Source organism: Homo sapiens, chromosome 17 (assembly GCF_000001405.40).
Source record: "Homo sapiens chromosome 17, GRCh38.p14 Primary Assembly".
Classification (NCBI taxonomy): Eukaryota; Metazoa; Chordata; class Mammalia; order Primates; family Hominidae; genus Homo; species Homo sapiens.
Window position 1 is genome coordinate 97193 of NC_000017.11, and position 16152 is coordinate 113344.

The window sequence follows — 16152 nt, forward strand, 5'->3', positions numbered from 1 at the left end:
AACCCTAGTGGTGAATGACTAAAGATGGATTACTCATAACAGAGATAACAGTCCAATAAGAATCCAGGAATCTTACCTTTTAATAACAAAAAAATCCTTTCCTTCTAAAGTAACATCCTCTCAAGGCCAGGAATTCCATTAGTAGAAAGCCTTCCTAAAAAACAAAATTCCTGGCCAGGCATGGGTTCACGTCTGTAATCTCAGCATTCTGGGAGGCCGAGGCGGGAAGATCACTTGATATCAGGAGTCGAGGCGGGAAGATCACTTGACGTCAGGAGTTCGAGACTGGCCCGGCCAACATGGTGAAACCGCATCTCCACTAAAAATACAAAAATTAGCCTGGTGTGGTGGTGGGCACCTGTAATCCCAGTGACTTGGGAGGCTAAGGCAGGAGAATTTCTTGAACCCAGGAGGCAGAGGTTGCAGTGACCAGCAAGGTTGCGCCATTGCACCCCAGCCTGGGCGATAAGAGTGAAAACTCCATCTCAAAAAAAAAAAAAAAAAAAAAATTCCTTTGGGAAGGCCTTCTACATAAAAATCTTCAACATGAGACTGGAAAAAAGGGTATGGGATCATCACCGGACCTTTGGCTTTTACAGCTCGAGCTATAAGAACAAAAAGAAAAAGGGATATCATTTAAACACGGTATGTAGAAAAGAATAATTATTGAATCTGTACTGGTCTTTAACTTTTACACTTTGATCTTTAATTCTGTTATTGTGATTGAGTCCAAAGAAAAACAGTATGAGTAAAATAAAAAGAACACCAAAAATGCTAATATTCTGTTTACCGAAGTCTGTAGTGAAATATCCCATTAAATCCAAGTGCAGTGACACACCCATAATCCCAAGCACTTTGGGAGGCTGAGGCGGGTGAATCTCCTGAAGTCAGGAGTTCAAGGCCAGCCTGGCCAACATGGTGAAACCCCAACTCTACTACAAATACAAAAATTAGGCAGGCGTGGTGGCAGAGGCCTGTAATCCCAGCTACTTAGGAGGCTGAGGCAGGGAGAATTGCTTGAACCCAGGAGGTGAGCTTGCCATGAGCTGAGATCATACCACTGCACTCCAGCGTGGGTGACAGAACAAAACTTCAACCTCCAAAAAAAAAAAAAAAAAAACAGCTAGCAGGTGACATTTGCTATAGGGAGTAGGGAGACTAGGGATATGATCTTGCTGCAATCTTTCCATTTTAGTAAATCTAAACAAGTGTGAATCCATTCTGTTTCGTCCCCACTCCACTCCAGAGCCAAAACAAGAAAATCAATTATATTTCTAGTTCTTTAAAAACATATCTAACTAAATCATCTAATTAAAAGATAATATGCATGGTTCCATACTCTAAAAGAAAACTTATGTCCTGCATATCATGGACATTTGATGAATGCTTATTCAGTTGACTGGTGTAGACTTCAATAATAACCTGTTCAATGCATTATGCCAGATGAATCTTGCATCTCAAAAGTAGAACAAATATTGTTCTTTCAGTTTTGTCTACCCATAAATGCAATATTTACTAATAAAAAGAAAATGAGTTTATTGTTCTAGAGAGTATGAGAATTTTGACAACATGAATTCTCCTGTCCTAGGACATAATTAATACTTAGAGGCATACTATTTCATGTGGAAGCTACCATTAAATCAATGTTAAGTGTTAATTACCTCACATAATCTTCTAATCTGACTTGACTGAAGACGTACCTGACAAAGTTGATTTATCAAGTTGTAAATCTTCACCTGTTGAATTCATAAGTTCATGTCTGAAAGGTGAGAATAAATACTTAATATTCATTAGGCAATATTCAGCAAAGTAATATCCACTAGTACATATTTAATATTTCATCATGAACTGCGGGTGTGAAGAGAAAAGACAGGCTGGGCACAGTGGCTCACACCTGTAATCCCAGCAGTTTGGGAGGCCGAGGCAGGCAGATCATGAGGTCAGGAGTTCGAGACCAGCCTGGCCAACATGGTAAAACCCCGTCTGTACTAAAAGTACAATAATTAGCTGGGCATGGTGGCAGGCACCTGTAATCCCAGCTACTCGGGAGGCTGAGGCAGGAGAATTGCCTGAACCCAGGAGGTGGAGGTTGCAGAAACCATTATCATGCCACTGCATTCCAGCCTGGGCAAGAGAGCAAGATTCTGTCTCCATCAATCAATCAATAAAAATATAAGGAGGAAGCATTTACTGTGTATTTATATGTCTGGTATTATGTGAAGCACTTTACTATCTTATCAAATCTTCGGGACAGATCTTCAGTTCTCATGACCACAAAAGAGGATACTAAAGCTCAGACAGGAGAAGAGACGTGGCCAGCCTGTGTCCCCAGGGCCTATGGTCTTACCACTAGGTTACAGTGTTTCCAGATATCACATGTTGTGAGATTTTTGCTTTAAAATGAACCAAAAAAAAACCAAAGGTGAAAAAGGCATAAGCTATTAAAAAGTGGGAGAAACACTAAGAGAACCTTAAGCATGTAACTAAAAATATTACGGAAATGTTATTGAATTCATTAGCAAATTTAGTGCTAGGTTTTCATTGAGGAGTAGGTTATATTACTCATGATGAAGAAAAATGTTCATTTTAAGTATATTAACATAAATACCATCAATATTGTTTATCATGTTTAAATGTTCACTTAAAGCAATTCAGTTAAAATTCTGCATATCATACAATTTTGTAGTTTGCTAGTAGGTTACAAGTAAATAGTCACCCAAATAAAAACATCATGTTTTCCACTGGTTGTTGCTCTTTTTTAGGTGAGTATTTGATGTATATCAACAGAGAGAGGATAATAACAAATCGCTAATTTCTTTCATCACTATATAAAGGTGGCTTCAGGATAGAATAGTATCAGCGCAATGATGAATTTGAAATCTAACATCAATTCAGTGATGCATCAAGATAAAAGTAGAGACAACAGGGGCACCTTGGTGAGTACTGAACATTTTATTTATTTATTTATTTTGAGATGGAGTTTTGCTCTTTTTGCCCAGGCTACAGTGCAATGGTGCCAACCTCGCCTCACTGCAACCTCTGCCTCCTGGGTTCAAGCGATTCTCCTGCCTTGGCCTCCCGAATAGCTGGGATTACAGACATGTGCCACCATACCCGTCTAATTTTGTATTTTTAGTAGAGACGGGGTTTCTCCATGTTGGTCAGGCTGGTCTCGAACTCCCGACCTAGATATCTGCCTGCCTTGGCCTCCCAAAGTGCTGGGATTACAGGTGTGAGCCACCGTGCCCAGATGAATTCCAAATTTAACAAAGCAGACTAAGAGAAACAATTCATTTAAAAAAATAATATTTGGCCAGGCATGGTGGCTCACACCTATAATCCCAGCACTTTGGGAGGCTGAGGTGAGTGGATCAGGAGGTCAGCAGTTCAAGACCAGCCTAGCCAAGATCATGAAACCCCGTCTCTACTAAAAATACAAAAATCAGCCAGGCGTGGTGGCTGGTGCCTGTAATCCTAGCTGCTCGGGAGGCTGAGGCAGAGAACTGCTTGAACCCGGGAGGCGGAGGTTGCAGTGAGCCGAGATCGTGCCACTGCACTCCAGCCTGGGCGACAGAGTGAGGCTCCGTCTCAAAAAAAATAAATAAATAATTCAATGAAATTCCTAAGATCCAGGGCTTTGCAATAAATATGTAAATAAATATCCAATCTCCATACTGAAAGTTTAAAAGAAATGCTAACTAATAACTAAAGAAATACAACTTTTCCTCAGCTTTGCAGCAATCTAGAAACAAAGTGTGTAGACACTACAAAGCACCTTACAAGGAGAAACATGTAAGGATGGCATGACTCGCCGGCAGCCCTGGGCTTGTCCACGGTACCCCCATGATGAACAGTAACTCCACTGTGTAAACGCCCATGAACATAAGATTACAAGACTTTTCCAGTTTAGACATACCATATTTTCTTTCAGACAATTCTTCAGTTTGTTTACGTAGATCAGCGATACGATGATTCCATTTCTCTGAAAACCAAGCAAAAGTTGCTTCTCAATAACACGTCCCTATGTCAGAGCAGCACTAACGTATAATGACTGATTTCATATATTTTACATTCTAACAGTCCATATCATTTTACTGCTTTCAAGAAAAAATTTCCCCTTCTTGGTGGTTCTTAGAATTGGTTTAATGGGAGACTATTAGAGAAGCTGAAAAGCAGGAGGGCAGAAAAGTTCAATCAAATTAAACACAATAACAGGGAGGTCACAATGAGGCGGTCTCCAGGGGTCTTTTAGCAAACTTCCTAAAACATGTCTCAGCTGTGTGAAATAAGACTTTACAGCAGCCGGGTGCAGTGGTGCAGGCCTGTAATCCCAGCACTTTGGCAGCACAGGCAGGCGGATCACTTTGAGCTCAGGGCAACATAGCCAAAACCCCCCTCCCTAGCCCCACCCCCACCCCGTCCCTACCAAAAATACAAAACAGCAGGGCATGGTGGCGGGCGCCTGTAGTCCCAGCTACTCAGGAGGCTGAGGCAGGAGAATCACCTGAACCCAGGAGGCAGACATTGCAGTGAGCCAAGATCACGCCACTGCCAGCCTGGATGACAGAGCAAGACTCCACCTCAAAAAAAACAAAAACAAAAACACAAGGTTAAGAGGGACCCCCGACCTTACAGATACAAGTTTAAGAGGGACCCCTAAGCAAAAAATGCCAACCCCTTTTCTCCCAATCATTGAAACACCAGGAGGGTGTAACAGTTTTGCAGCCTAGCTGTAGCAGGCTGATGCCCCCAAGATGCCCATATCCTAATCCCGGGAACTGGTGAACATGACCTTATATGGCAAAAGGAGCTTTGCAGATATAATGAAGTTAAGGGTCTTTGGCTTTTGGGGTTGATGTACTCACTCGGATCCTTGTAAGAGCAGAGCAGGTGATGGAGAGGGTGGGAGGTGTAGTGACAGAAGCAGGAAACTCCAGTCATTCGAGACGGGCAGCACAAGCTGCAGAGTGCAGGCCACCTCTACGGCCAGGAAACGGATTCTCCCGCAGAGCCTCGGAAGCTACCGACCCTGCTCCCACCTTGACTCAGTAGGACTTACTGTAGAATTCTGGCCTTCAGACCTGTAAGGGAATACATTTTGGTTGTTTTAAGTCACTACGTGTGTGGTAATTTGTTGCAGCAGCCACAGGAAACTAGTATTGTAGTGAAGCCTCAAAACCCCCCTGAAGGGGCTGGGCTCAGTGGCTCATGCCTGTAATCCCAGCACTTTGGGAGGCCGAGATGGGTGGATCACTTGAGGTCAGGAGTTCGAGACCAGCCCAGCCAACATGGTGAAATGCCATCTATACAAAAAATACAAAAACTAGCCGGGCATGGTGGCACATGCCTGTAATCTCAGCTACTCAGGAGGCTGAGACAGGAGAATTATTTGAACCCAGGGGGGCAGAGGTTGCAGTGAACTGAGATTCCACCACTGCACTCCAGCCTGGGTGACAGAGCGACGCTCCATCTCGAAAACAAAACAAAACAAAAAAACCCCACCTGAAGGTTTCCAGTTCTGCCAGCACTCTCCCACCCAACCCCCAGAAACAGACATTCCATTGCTGTGGGCCATGGACAGGCAGAAGGAAGCACCTCCTCATGGCAGAGGCCTACCCAGGAGAAACCCAAGGGAAGGCACTACTGGGCTGGCCCCTCTCTGCCAAGGCCATATTCTTTTTTTTTTGAGGCCAGTTTCACTCTGTCTCCCAGACTGGAGTGCAGGGGCACAATCTCGGCTCACTTCGACCTCTGCCTCCCCAGTTCAAGTGATTCTCCTGCCTCAGTCTCCTGAGTAGCTGGGATGACAGGAGTGTAGCATGCCTAGCTAATTTTTGTATTTCTAGTAGAGATGCGGTTTTGCCATGTTGCCCAGGCTGGACTCGAACTCGCCTCAAGTAGTCCACCTGTCTCAGCCCCGCAAAGTGCTGGTATTACAGGAGTGAGCCACTGCACCCAGCATTTGCCAAGACCTTTGATGGCAGGCTTTTTCCAGGTGATCAGTCCTTGTCTGGTCTGGCTCTGCCCCACTCTCCTTCTCACCTAGTTGGAATCCCTAGCTACTTTTCAGTAGAGGAGAGTGTGTACCCCAATCCCAGCTTGGTTCAGATCTGCATTTAACTCATGGAACCTGGCTGCTCCCCAGGTTCTGAAGAAAAAAACGGTCTCTCTGTGTGTATGATAAAGGATGGGCCTGTCCCCAGGACCCTGTGAGAGGGAAGCCCAATGTCCCACCAGGTTGGCAGGGCTGGGGAAGGGAAAGTGTTATGGCAGCCCCAAGAAAAAAAAGAGGCAGCAGAGGGAGCAGGACAGCGCTCACATGGAACTCATGCCACTGCCTGAGGGGAGGGAGGAGTGCACGCCAGTGACGTCAGGGGGCAGAGAGGCACAGTTCCAGGGCGGCTTTCCCCCTCACTTCCTGCCATGTTACTCTGATCGCCTCCAGGTGAGCCTGCCCACTTTGTGCCCAGGGGCCTGTAGAAAACCACAGCTCCCCATGGTTATGGCCCCAGGAGTGGGGCAGAGCAGGGAGGAGTCCTGGACAGAGGAGAGGCAGGGGTAGGAGGGAGTGGGCCTCAAACTCCAGGAGGGGGCCCTTCTCATGGGTCCTGCTTTCTGGCTTCTCCTTCCTTACCCCTGGGCTGATCACTTGGGGAAGAACTGGGACAAAGTTTCTCACCCTCAGGCCCAAAGGGTTTAATTACTGGGCCCTTATGGAGGTGTGAGCCCCCTGAAAGGATGCAAGGTTTTGTTTTGTTTTGTTTTTTGAGACAGAGTTTCACTCCTGTCGCCCAGGCTGGAGTGCAGTGGCGTGATCTCACCACACTACAACCTGCGCCTCCCAGGTTCAAGTGATTCTCCTGCCTCAGCCTCTGGAGTAGCTGGGATTACAGGTGGCTGCCACCACGCCTGGCTAATTTTTTGTATTTTTAGTAGAGACAGGGTTTCGCCATGTTGGGCAGGCTGGTCTTGAACTCCTGACCTCAGGTGATCCGACTGGCTCCGCCTCCCAAAGTTCTGGGATCACATCAGCCACTGTGCTTGGCCACAATGAAAGGTTTTGTGTGGAGAGCATGTACATGCCTTTCTGGGAAAACAGTCCACAGCTCTTATTCTCAGCAGGCTTCACGGTGAAAAAAGGTTAGAACTCTTGCTACAGAGCTGTGGAAGCAGCCAGGTGAGGGGCCTGCCAAGGGCACTCTGGGCACTACCTGGGCACTCTCGAGCCCATCATCCCCTAGGCAGGCTGCACTGCTTGGTATTTGCAGAGCTGAGGGGGTGGGGCATGTGGGGACTGTGAAATCGCCCTGAGATGACCCACAGTCCTCAGCTAGGAAGTGAGCGCTGCATCTCCTGCAGCGTCCTCCATCCCTAGAGCCATGGGGCCAGGAGAACCGGCCCTTGCAGCAAGTGAAAAGCCTATTATTGATTCCCTCCCTAGCCATGTAGACAGTGAACCAAGACACTCATATCAGGTAAATGCCTTGTTCTCTGTTACCAAGGTAACCAGTAGGCATTCCCAGATACAGCGAAGGTCCTCACACCAAGATATGCACCTGGCCACCTGAGGAAAGAGAAAGGACTATCTGAGGGGATGGGGCTGAGCTGGGTGTGGAGTGGTCCTTGTGGGTCTTGGAGAGTGGGAGGGGGAGCAGCATGAGCCAGGCCTCAAGGCAGAAGGACAACCAGGAGACAGCCTGGAAAAAGTGCTGGACCCACAAGGGCTCAAGGCTGGCCAGAGGGGAGGTGGGATAGGCTGTAAAGTCCTGAGGTCTGAAGATTGGCCCTGGCAGGAAGAAACCAGGTAAGGTGGGGTGTTACCTACACCCTCGGGGCCAGATGCAGGCCAGAGCCCGCCAATTACCAGGCCCTTAGGGAGGTGTGAGCCCCTTGAAATGATGCAAGGTTTTTTGTTTTTGTTTTGGAGACGGAGTTTCGCTCTTGTCACACAGGCTGGCACCTTTGCCCAGAGCAGGCACCAAGACTTCTGGCTCTGGGTGTGACCTCAGTCTGGGTAAAAGCCCCAGCCCCCACCAGCACCACCTACCCCCTAGACTACTTCAGGTGCTGAGCCCAAGCCAGGGGCAGGAAGCTAAACTGATGCCTAGGGTAATCCCAACAAAGTCCCTGGTTCCCCGCAGCTATGGGGCTGACGGGGAATTACAGCCCAAACCCCAGATGCTGGCTCTCAAACTAACACTGAGCCCTCAGTGCCCACAGGGAGATACAATCAGCGCACTTTCCAGATGGGGAAATGGGATCAGAGAAGTGCAACAGCCTTGCCCAATGCCCCAGACCAGGGCTCCAGGCCCAGAGTGTTCTTTTGTCACTGTGTTCAGAGGGCAGCAGCTGCTGTGATGTACCCACCTGAGCCTGGCAGCTTTCTCCAACTTTGGAAGCCCAGGAGCATGGCCCCTGTCCACAGATGCACCTGGCATGAGGCGTGCCCAGAGGGACAGAGGCAGATGAGTTTCGTCTCCTCCACTGGATTGTGAGGGCCTAGAAGGAGACAAGGGTCTGCTTGAGAAGGCAGTGAACAGCGAGCAGCCTGAGGCAGTGCCCCTCTGGATGGATGCGCAGTGCCTGGATGGAACCTGGCTCAGACAGAGCTCAGTTCTGCAGGTCCCTGAGGCATGGAGAGTTCACAGCTACCAAGTGTAGGAGTCTGGATTCAAAGCCAACGGCGTGACTCCAAAGTCCCTGCCCTAGCCCCTGGACCACCCTTGCAGGCCCATCAGATGCCCAGGCCAGCAGCACAGCCGGCCAAGACCAGGGAAACTTGGGGAGCCTCAGAGCACCCCCAGGTATTCCAACCTAACCCTGGTGCCCCGCCTCTCACCACCCTTCTTCCTGCTTTAACCTCAACCCCTACACAAAGCCTGGGCCACTTCATGTGGCATCAAACAGACGCCTCAATAAATCAGTCTAATCTCGAAAAAAAAAAGACTTAACAGATATACAATTGCACGTTAGAATGCTAAAGACCATAAACATAGAACAACTTAAAGTACATATAAATTCAATATATATCCAATCATTGTAACTATGACACAGTAGAATATTAAAATACTATTTTCAAAATGTATACAAGCTTAATGTTCTATGTATTCAAACTATTTATTCAAAATACAAATCATCAACATACATTGCCACTAATATTCAGTCCCTTCACAGGACATGATTCACTGGGAGTTAATAAATTAGCAGCCAGCAGGCAGTGACACACCGCAAAAATGAAAACCAAGAGGTGAAATAGTTCTGAAATAAAGGTTTTAAAGCTAACAGAAATCACTGAATTACTAAGTCATTAGCACTAATTTTGAGCCAACTAACTAATTAATATGAGATGATACAATGTCCTATACTTTGGTAAATACAGACTATGTTTAAACAATGTCTGTAACGTGACTTGTAAAATGCTCCTGGCTTTACAAAGATGTGATTAAGATGTAGTAACACATGCTAAACCATTTCCCCCTGCAGAGCATGTGGTAACTTTCATCAGTCACACTGAGAGTCCAGAAGATAAAGGAAAAGGTCATGGATTTCGCTGAGAACTTACCAGAGTTGAACTCCCTCATTTTCCGTTCCCCAGCATTGGCGGGTTCTGGGACTGGTGGCTGTGGTGGCTCGTTGGTCTTTGTCTCTTAGAAGGTGGGGAATAATCATCATCTTGAAAAAGAAAAAATGGTCATTACTGAAGGAACCATCTTAGGTTACAGCCACCTCTGGGTCAATTCCCAACATTCAAAAGCTGAGCAGGGCTTTAAAGCTATCTTATTAATAATTATTTCTGTATTGCGAACTTCAGCATATTTTTTTCTAGTTACATTTGAAATGTTTTTCTTTTGGGATGTGCTCAAGTGAGTACTGCTTTTTCCTCTGCCTTGCTTCATTACTTTTTAGTTTCCTTCATTTGAATCATCATTGTAAGTCTCCCCTTCTCCTCAAATAACTTTCAAATTGCTGCCAAGAACTACGTTCTATCTTAAGGCTTTTGAGAAAAAACTTTCAATGAAGATAGCCGCCTAAAGTTATACAAATATAGAAGAAACGGGATAAAATAAAGCTTAGATTGGAAAAAATATTTAAGATTCTACAAAATTCACGCGTAAACAAGGGAAGCTGAGTAATTGTATGTTCAAATACTTTTAACAAGTGCAAAACATGTAGGCTTAAAGAAATAGAGCTGGCCAGGCATGGTGGTTCACGCCTGTAATTCCAACAGTTTGGGAGGCCGAGGCAGGCAGATAACTTGAGGTCAGGAATTCGAGACCAGCCTGGCCAACAGAGTGAAACCCTCTCTCTACTAAAAATACAAAAATTAGGCCAGGAGTGATGGCTCATGCCTGTGATCCCAGCACTTTGAGAGGCCGAGGCGGGTAGATCACCTGAGGTCAGGAGTTTGAGACCAGCCTAACCAACATAGGGAAACCCCGTCTCTACTAAAACTACAACATTAGCCGGGTGTGGTGGCACATGCCTGTAATCCCAGCTACTCGGGAGGCTGAGGCAGGAGAATCCCTTGAACCCAAAAGGCAAAGATTGTGGTGAGCCGAGATTGTGCCATTGCACTCCAGCCTGGGCAAAAACAGCGAAACTCCGTCTCAAAAAAAAAAAAAAAGAAAAAATTAGCCAGGCATGGTGAAGTTGCGGTGAGCTGAGACTGCACCATTGCACTCCAGCCTGGGTAGCAGAGCAAGACCCTGTCTCAAAAAAAAAAAAAAAAAAAAAAAAAAAGAGAGAGAGAGAAAGAAAGAAAGAGGGCTACATTATTTATGAAACAGATACTGTTAACTCAGTCACCAGAAAGCCTGTGTATAAATGAGCAGTGAGATATTCAAGCACAGCACACACACACTTCTCAGGACAGCTGTCGTGAGTGTTCCATGCTCGTTTCCTTCTGGATACATCAGCAACTCACTCTGCTATGATCCTGCAATACGTCTCATGTTAGAATTAGAGACATCTGGGCCAGGCACAGTGGCTGACGCCTGTAATCCTAACACTTTGGGAAGCCGAGGCAGGCAGATCACCTAAGGTCAGGAGTTCGAGACCAGCCTGGCCAACATGGTGAAATGCTGTCTCTACCAAAAATACAAAAAATTAGCTGGGCATGGTGGCGCGCGCCTGTAATCCCAGCTACTCGGGAGCCTGAGGCAGGAGAATCGCTTGAACCCGGGAGGTGGAGGTTGCAGTGAGCCGAGATCGTGCCACTGCACTCCAGCATGGGGGACGGAGCAAGGCTCTGTCAAAAAAAAAAAAAACAGAAAAAGAAAAAGAAAAAAGAATTAGAGACATCTGGATCAAATCAGCTGCCAGTCTCGCAAAGTGTCGGGTAACATCCTATTAAGCTTGCTGCTTACACATCATCTATAAAATACTGAAAATATCATTTTAAGAAATCTTTTTTTTATTTTGAGACAGAGTTTTGCTCGTTGCCCAGGCTGGAGTGCAATGGTGCGATCTCAGCTCACTGCAATCTCTGCCCCCTGGGTTCAAGCAATTCTCCTTCCTCAGCCTCCTGAGTAGCTGGGATTACAGGCATGCACCACCACGCCTGGCTAATTCTGTATTTTCAGTTGAGACAGGGTTTCTCCATATTGGTCAGGCTGGTCTCGAACTCCTGACCTCAGGTGATCCACTGACCTTGGCCTCCCAAAGTGCTGGGATTACAGGTGTGAGCCACCATGCCTAGCCAAGAAACCCTTATTTTAAAACAAGCCAGGCGCGGTGGCTCATGCCTATAATCCCAGCACTTTGGGAAGCCAAGGCAGGTGGATCACTTGACGTCAGTAGTTTGAGACCAGCCCGAGCAACATGTTGTAACCCCATCTCTACTAAAAATATATTTTAAAAATTAGCTGGGCATGGTGGTGGGCACCTGTAATCCCAGCTTCTCAGGAGGCTGAGGCAGGAGAACCACTTGAACCTGGGAGGTGGAGGTTGCAGTGAGCAGAGATCACGCCACTGCACTCTAGCCTGGGTGACAATAGAAAGACTCCATCTCAAAAACAAAACAAAACAAAACAAAACAAAAAACCACTAAAAAAAAGACTCCATTTCAAAAACAAAACTAAAACCAAAAACACAACACAAATGTAGTACACAAATGAAAATAATTACTGTGTTAAACACAGTTTCATAGAAAATAAAAGACCAATCAAATACAATAAGCTGCCTTTTTAGATGGGTATGTTATTCTTCTTTCACAGCTAAAGAAACAGGCTCAGAGAATGTTATTTGATTGGACCGTGTTGCATTTCTGGACAGTGCAGCTGAGATCAGACTTTGTGTGTAACTCCACTAGCCTACCAGGGTGCCTCTCATAAAGGTAAGAAATGTAAATTTGGCCTAATATACAAAGTTGCCAGGGCAGCACTGGGTCAATTCTACATACAGTACTTCTATGTTCATCAAGGGAAACCTTAAGGGAAAGTGAAAATGCTTCTAGAAGGCGACTGGACACCAGCGCCTTTGCTTGTTGCCTTTGGGCTCTTCTTCTAAGGCCAACAGTGACCTGAAATTATTGACTGGCTTTTCCAATCAGGTGGACAAAATGGTACCAAGGTTGCCAACATCGATGTAGAACATCGATGTTCTACAACATTGCTTAACGCAAGGGGAGACACTCCTGACTCAGAGTGTTTAATTGCTCACCTACTTCTTTTTCTGCCCTCTTGGGCTTCTGAAATGAAAAGAACCCTGGGGTGATACAGTGAGTCAAAGGGGTGCCAGCCGCATCACAGCAAAATAGATTCCTAAAAAATCCCTGGCCTAAGATGACAGCCTTGGCTGGATCAGTTTGAATGTGCTGATAGTGGACATGGTAGAATGAAGGTGGTTGAAATGTTCATATTAAAGAACTTCCACCCAGATTGCAAGAAAAGAGAGAAGAATGGAGACGGCAGCACAAGCCCCTACAATAAAAGCAGATGTTTTGAGATCAGTTATATTTCTTCTGACAAAAATTAAAGACAGAAACCAAAGTTTAGCCTGAGACTACAATTAATTGGGCAATAAGCCAGAGGCACATATGGCATAAGACAGATTTAAACATTTCTCCCTGATATTAATACAAACACTAAAATTACAAATACATGGATTCCAAATAAAACAAATATTTAAAAAATTTAATGAATAAACACTGGGGTCTACAGTAGTATTTGAAGGAGATCTCACAAACAGGTTTGGTTTTTGAAGGTTAGAACTGGTGGTCTAGAGAATTCATTTCATTCCAGAGAAAGAAAGAGAGGAATTTCTTGGGTTCCTTCAGGAATGCGTCTAGCTTTGCCTCATCTTTGTTTGAACTATGGATACAGCAGAAGAAAACATAAGGATTTCACAGATTTAAGGTGCAAAAAGTCACTGGGTTCTCTAAGAAGTCTGGGATTCTTCTGCTGGAAAAATAAGTTTGTTGAGAAAAAATGAGTTGGAGGAGGCTGTTATTGAAGTGAAGCAGAACTGTTTTTACTAATCTGCTTATTACCCACTCTGTAGTGTGGAAACAAATTATTCATGCACAAGGTCCTCTTACTGTTCCTAGAATGCAGTGGAAAGAGAACAGATTAGTTTTCCTCCCTCAGAACACAACCCCTAGAAACATCCTACCTCAGATGAGATATTGCCTAATTATTTTCAAAAGACAGTGAAACATCATGGATGTAAATGTTTGCTACAAAATAAATACATGCTAGAAACAGAAGCATCTGGGTCACAGCTATATTAGAGCTACCTGTGTTCCCCTGTCACTGACATTAAAACAAAAATGTCCAATACAATCATTCACAGCGTGGGAGAGGGGAAGTTGAAGGATGGAAAGGCCAGGCATAAAAGGATTTCAGAATTTCCGTCCATAAGGAAGTGGCTTTGTGCACTGTCTGTTACTGCGTGCAAGGTGAAATTTGAAGAATGAAAACGTGCAGTAACAAGGGCTCCTTTGTCCAACTCACCTCTCCAGATACCAAGTTTCAGACATGTTGCATTTGAATTGAAAGGTTGATATAATTTTTTTTAAAGAACACTTGCGGTGTTTGAAGTGACAAAGGCTGCTGTGACAAAAAAGCAGGGAAAGGGAATTTTTTTTTTAAAAGCAAACAACAACAACAAAAACCCCACAGAAAAGCAAACAACAAACAAACAAAAAACAGAGGAAGAAGTTGAACACCCCGGGCTGTGACTACTTCCAGGAAGGGGCTACAAGAGGCAGTTGGAAATTCTATTTGTTTTGCAACTGTGGGTTTTCCGGCCTGCTTCCTTTCTAAAGTATATTACTCTGCTTTTGGTTCATGAAGTTATCCATTTCTGTTTTCTGGAACAGCTATGTATTTTCTTTATCTATCATCTATCTATCTATTTACCATCTATCTTTTCTACCTTTTGCTATCAAGAGCTTGTGTCAAGCAGGATAGAATTCCAGTGTATGTTCACTCTACCGTTTAAAACAAGAGCTCTTGTGGGCATTCTCCATCACATCATAAACCTGAGCTTTCTAAAACAGAGTGTGGCAAACTACCATGCATGGACCATGTCTGACACAGTCTGCGTTTGTAAGTAAAGTTGTAATGGGACACAACCAATACATGTGTTACATAATGTCTCTGGCTACTTTCATGGTATAATGGAAGAGCTGAGTCATTGAGAGAGAGACCATATGGCTTGGAAAACTTAAAATATTTAACATTTAGCCCCTTGCAGAAAATACTTGCTGACTCTTGTTTTAAAAGATCTCTGTTTAGAATGCTACCTATTGCGTTCTGGATAGAATCACAACTCTTTACCACAATTGACACAGCTTCAGCCCTGCTTCTATATCCAGCCTCATCTATTTCTGCTCCTCCTCCTTATTTTCCTTCTGGCCATGCTGATGGATTGTCAGCTTCCCAGATGTGCAAGAATCTCTCCTCCCTTCCCAACATTCTCATGCTCTCCCTCTGCCTCTCAAGAACTTCCTGCCCCATCTCTCATGACAAATCCTTTCTACATTCTTTAAGATGCAGCCCCTTTGCTCCTTCCTTAAGGATGTCTGTCTGGCTCTATTTTGGGTGACGTGCTCCTTCTGCATCTCCCAGAGCCAGCCTGTGTGTGTCAGCTACAACATTTCTTTGCATCTCTGTGTCATATATCACCAAATCTGCCTAAGCTTGCATGAGTCACTGCATGACAACTTCAGACTCCACCAGCATTGTCCCCACTAACCACAAGGCTTAGACATTCGTCCAGTATGCTCAGGGTTGTGGGGTGGTAGCAGTAACCAGCTGGTGACCATCATTTCTTACATCAGAATCAAATCTGTAGATCTCTGCCATTCGTAAGTATTTGGAGTTTAAAATTAGCATAAAGATTTTCCTTAAAATAAGAACAAATAGCTTGAGTAGGCTTTTGGAACGTAGGATGTTTCCACTGGTTCATTTCTGTGTTCAATATTCCCACATGAATCTAAACACGACTCTGCTCTTAGTAGCTATGTGACCCTGGGAAAGTCACTCAATCTCCCGCAGCTAAATTTTGTTGTGTGAGTAATGAGGAGAGAGTTGTGATTTGTATTTAGAGAATAATAACAAACAAAAGGCATTTAGCTTTCTGGAACCTGGTATGTAGTAGAACCTCATGAAATACTAGCTCTGTTGATAAAACTAGACTGAAAGAAGCTTTCAAAGTCAACAAAAGTTTGAGGCAGTGAAGGACGTAGAGGAGAAGCTGCTGCTGCAGCCTGTAGCTCCTGGAAGCCCGTTTAGTCCATGATTTAGCAGGAATGCATTACCCTTCCATGAGGAGGCACTGCCCACAGAAACCAAGGCCATTCTTTGAAGACAAACATGTCTTAATAGCCTTTACATTATGTAATAGTGTAATACAAATAATAATTTATTATTAGTAATAATGTGAAATTATTTACAGTACCCTAACCCTAACCCCTAATCCTAACCCTAACCCCTAACCCTAATCCTAACCCAAACCCTAACCCTAACCCTAACCCTAACCCAACCCTAACCCTAGCTCCTAATCCTAACCCTAACCCTAACCCTAACCCTAACCCAACCCTAACCCTAGCTCCTAACCCTAACCCTAACCCTAACCCTAAAACCCTAACCCTAACCCTAACCCTAACCCTAACCCTAACCCTAACCCTAACCCTAAAACCCTAACCCT

The 16152-nt window shown here is 44.9% G+C and overlaps 2 long non-coding RNA genes and 1 pseudogene across 11 annotated transcripts in view; 1 reads left to right on the forward strand and 2 right to left on the reverse strand.

The window, feature by feature from the left end:
* GTF2IP17 (general transcription factor IIi pseudogene 17) lies at positions 503 to 606 on the forward strand (annotated as a pseudogene).
* Positions 519 to 16152, reverse strand: part of LOC101929823 (uncharacterized) — a 36131-nt gene continuing 20497 nt past the window's right edge. For 6 of the 9 annotated variants that reach the window (XR_001752720.3, XR_001752721.3, XR_001752717.3 and 3 more), the window contains 6 exons: positions 9563 to 9672; positions 8368 to 8499; positions 4866 to 5081; positions 3917 to 3982; positions 1701 to 1759; positions 519 to 605 (listed from right to left, as the gene is read on the reverse strand). This is a non-coding gene — a long non-coding RNA (uncharacterized LOC101929823). Of the gene's footprint in view, positions 606 to 1700; positions 1760 to 3775; positions 3983 to 4865; positions 5082 to 8367; positions 8500 to 9562; positions 10940 to 16152 lie in introns of those variants that run through there. The other 3 variants (XR_942199.4, XR_942198.4, XR_942196.4) reach the window with 3 other exon arrangements.
* Positions 13104 to 14374, reverse strand: LOC101929828 (uncharacterized). Of its 2 annotated transcripts, none has more exons than XR_942193.2 (2): positions 13494 to 14374; positions 13104 to 13397 (listed from the first exon to the last, which is right to left on the reverse strand). It is a non-coding gene; the product is annotated as an uncharacterized LOC101929828 (long non-coding RNA). The 2 variants fall into 2 exon arrangements; XR_942194.2 differs by having other exon boundaries at positions 13104 to 13400.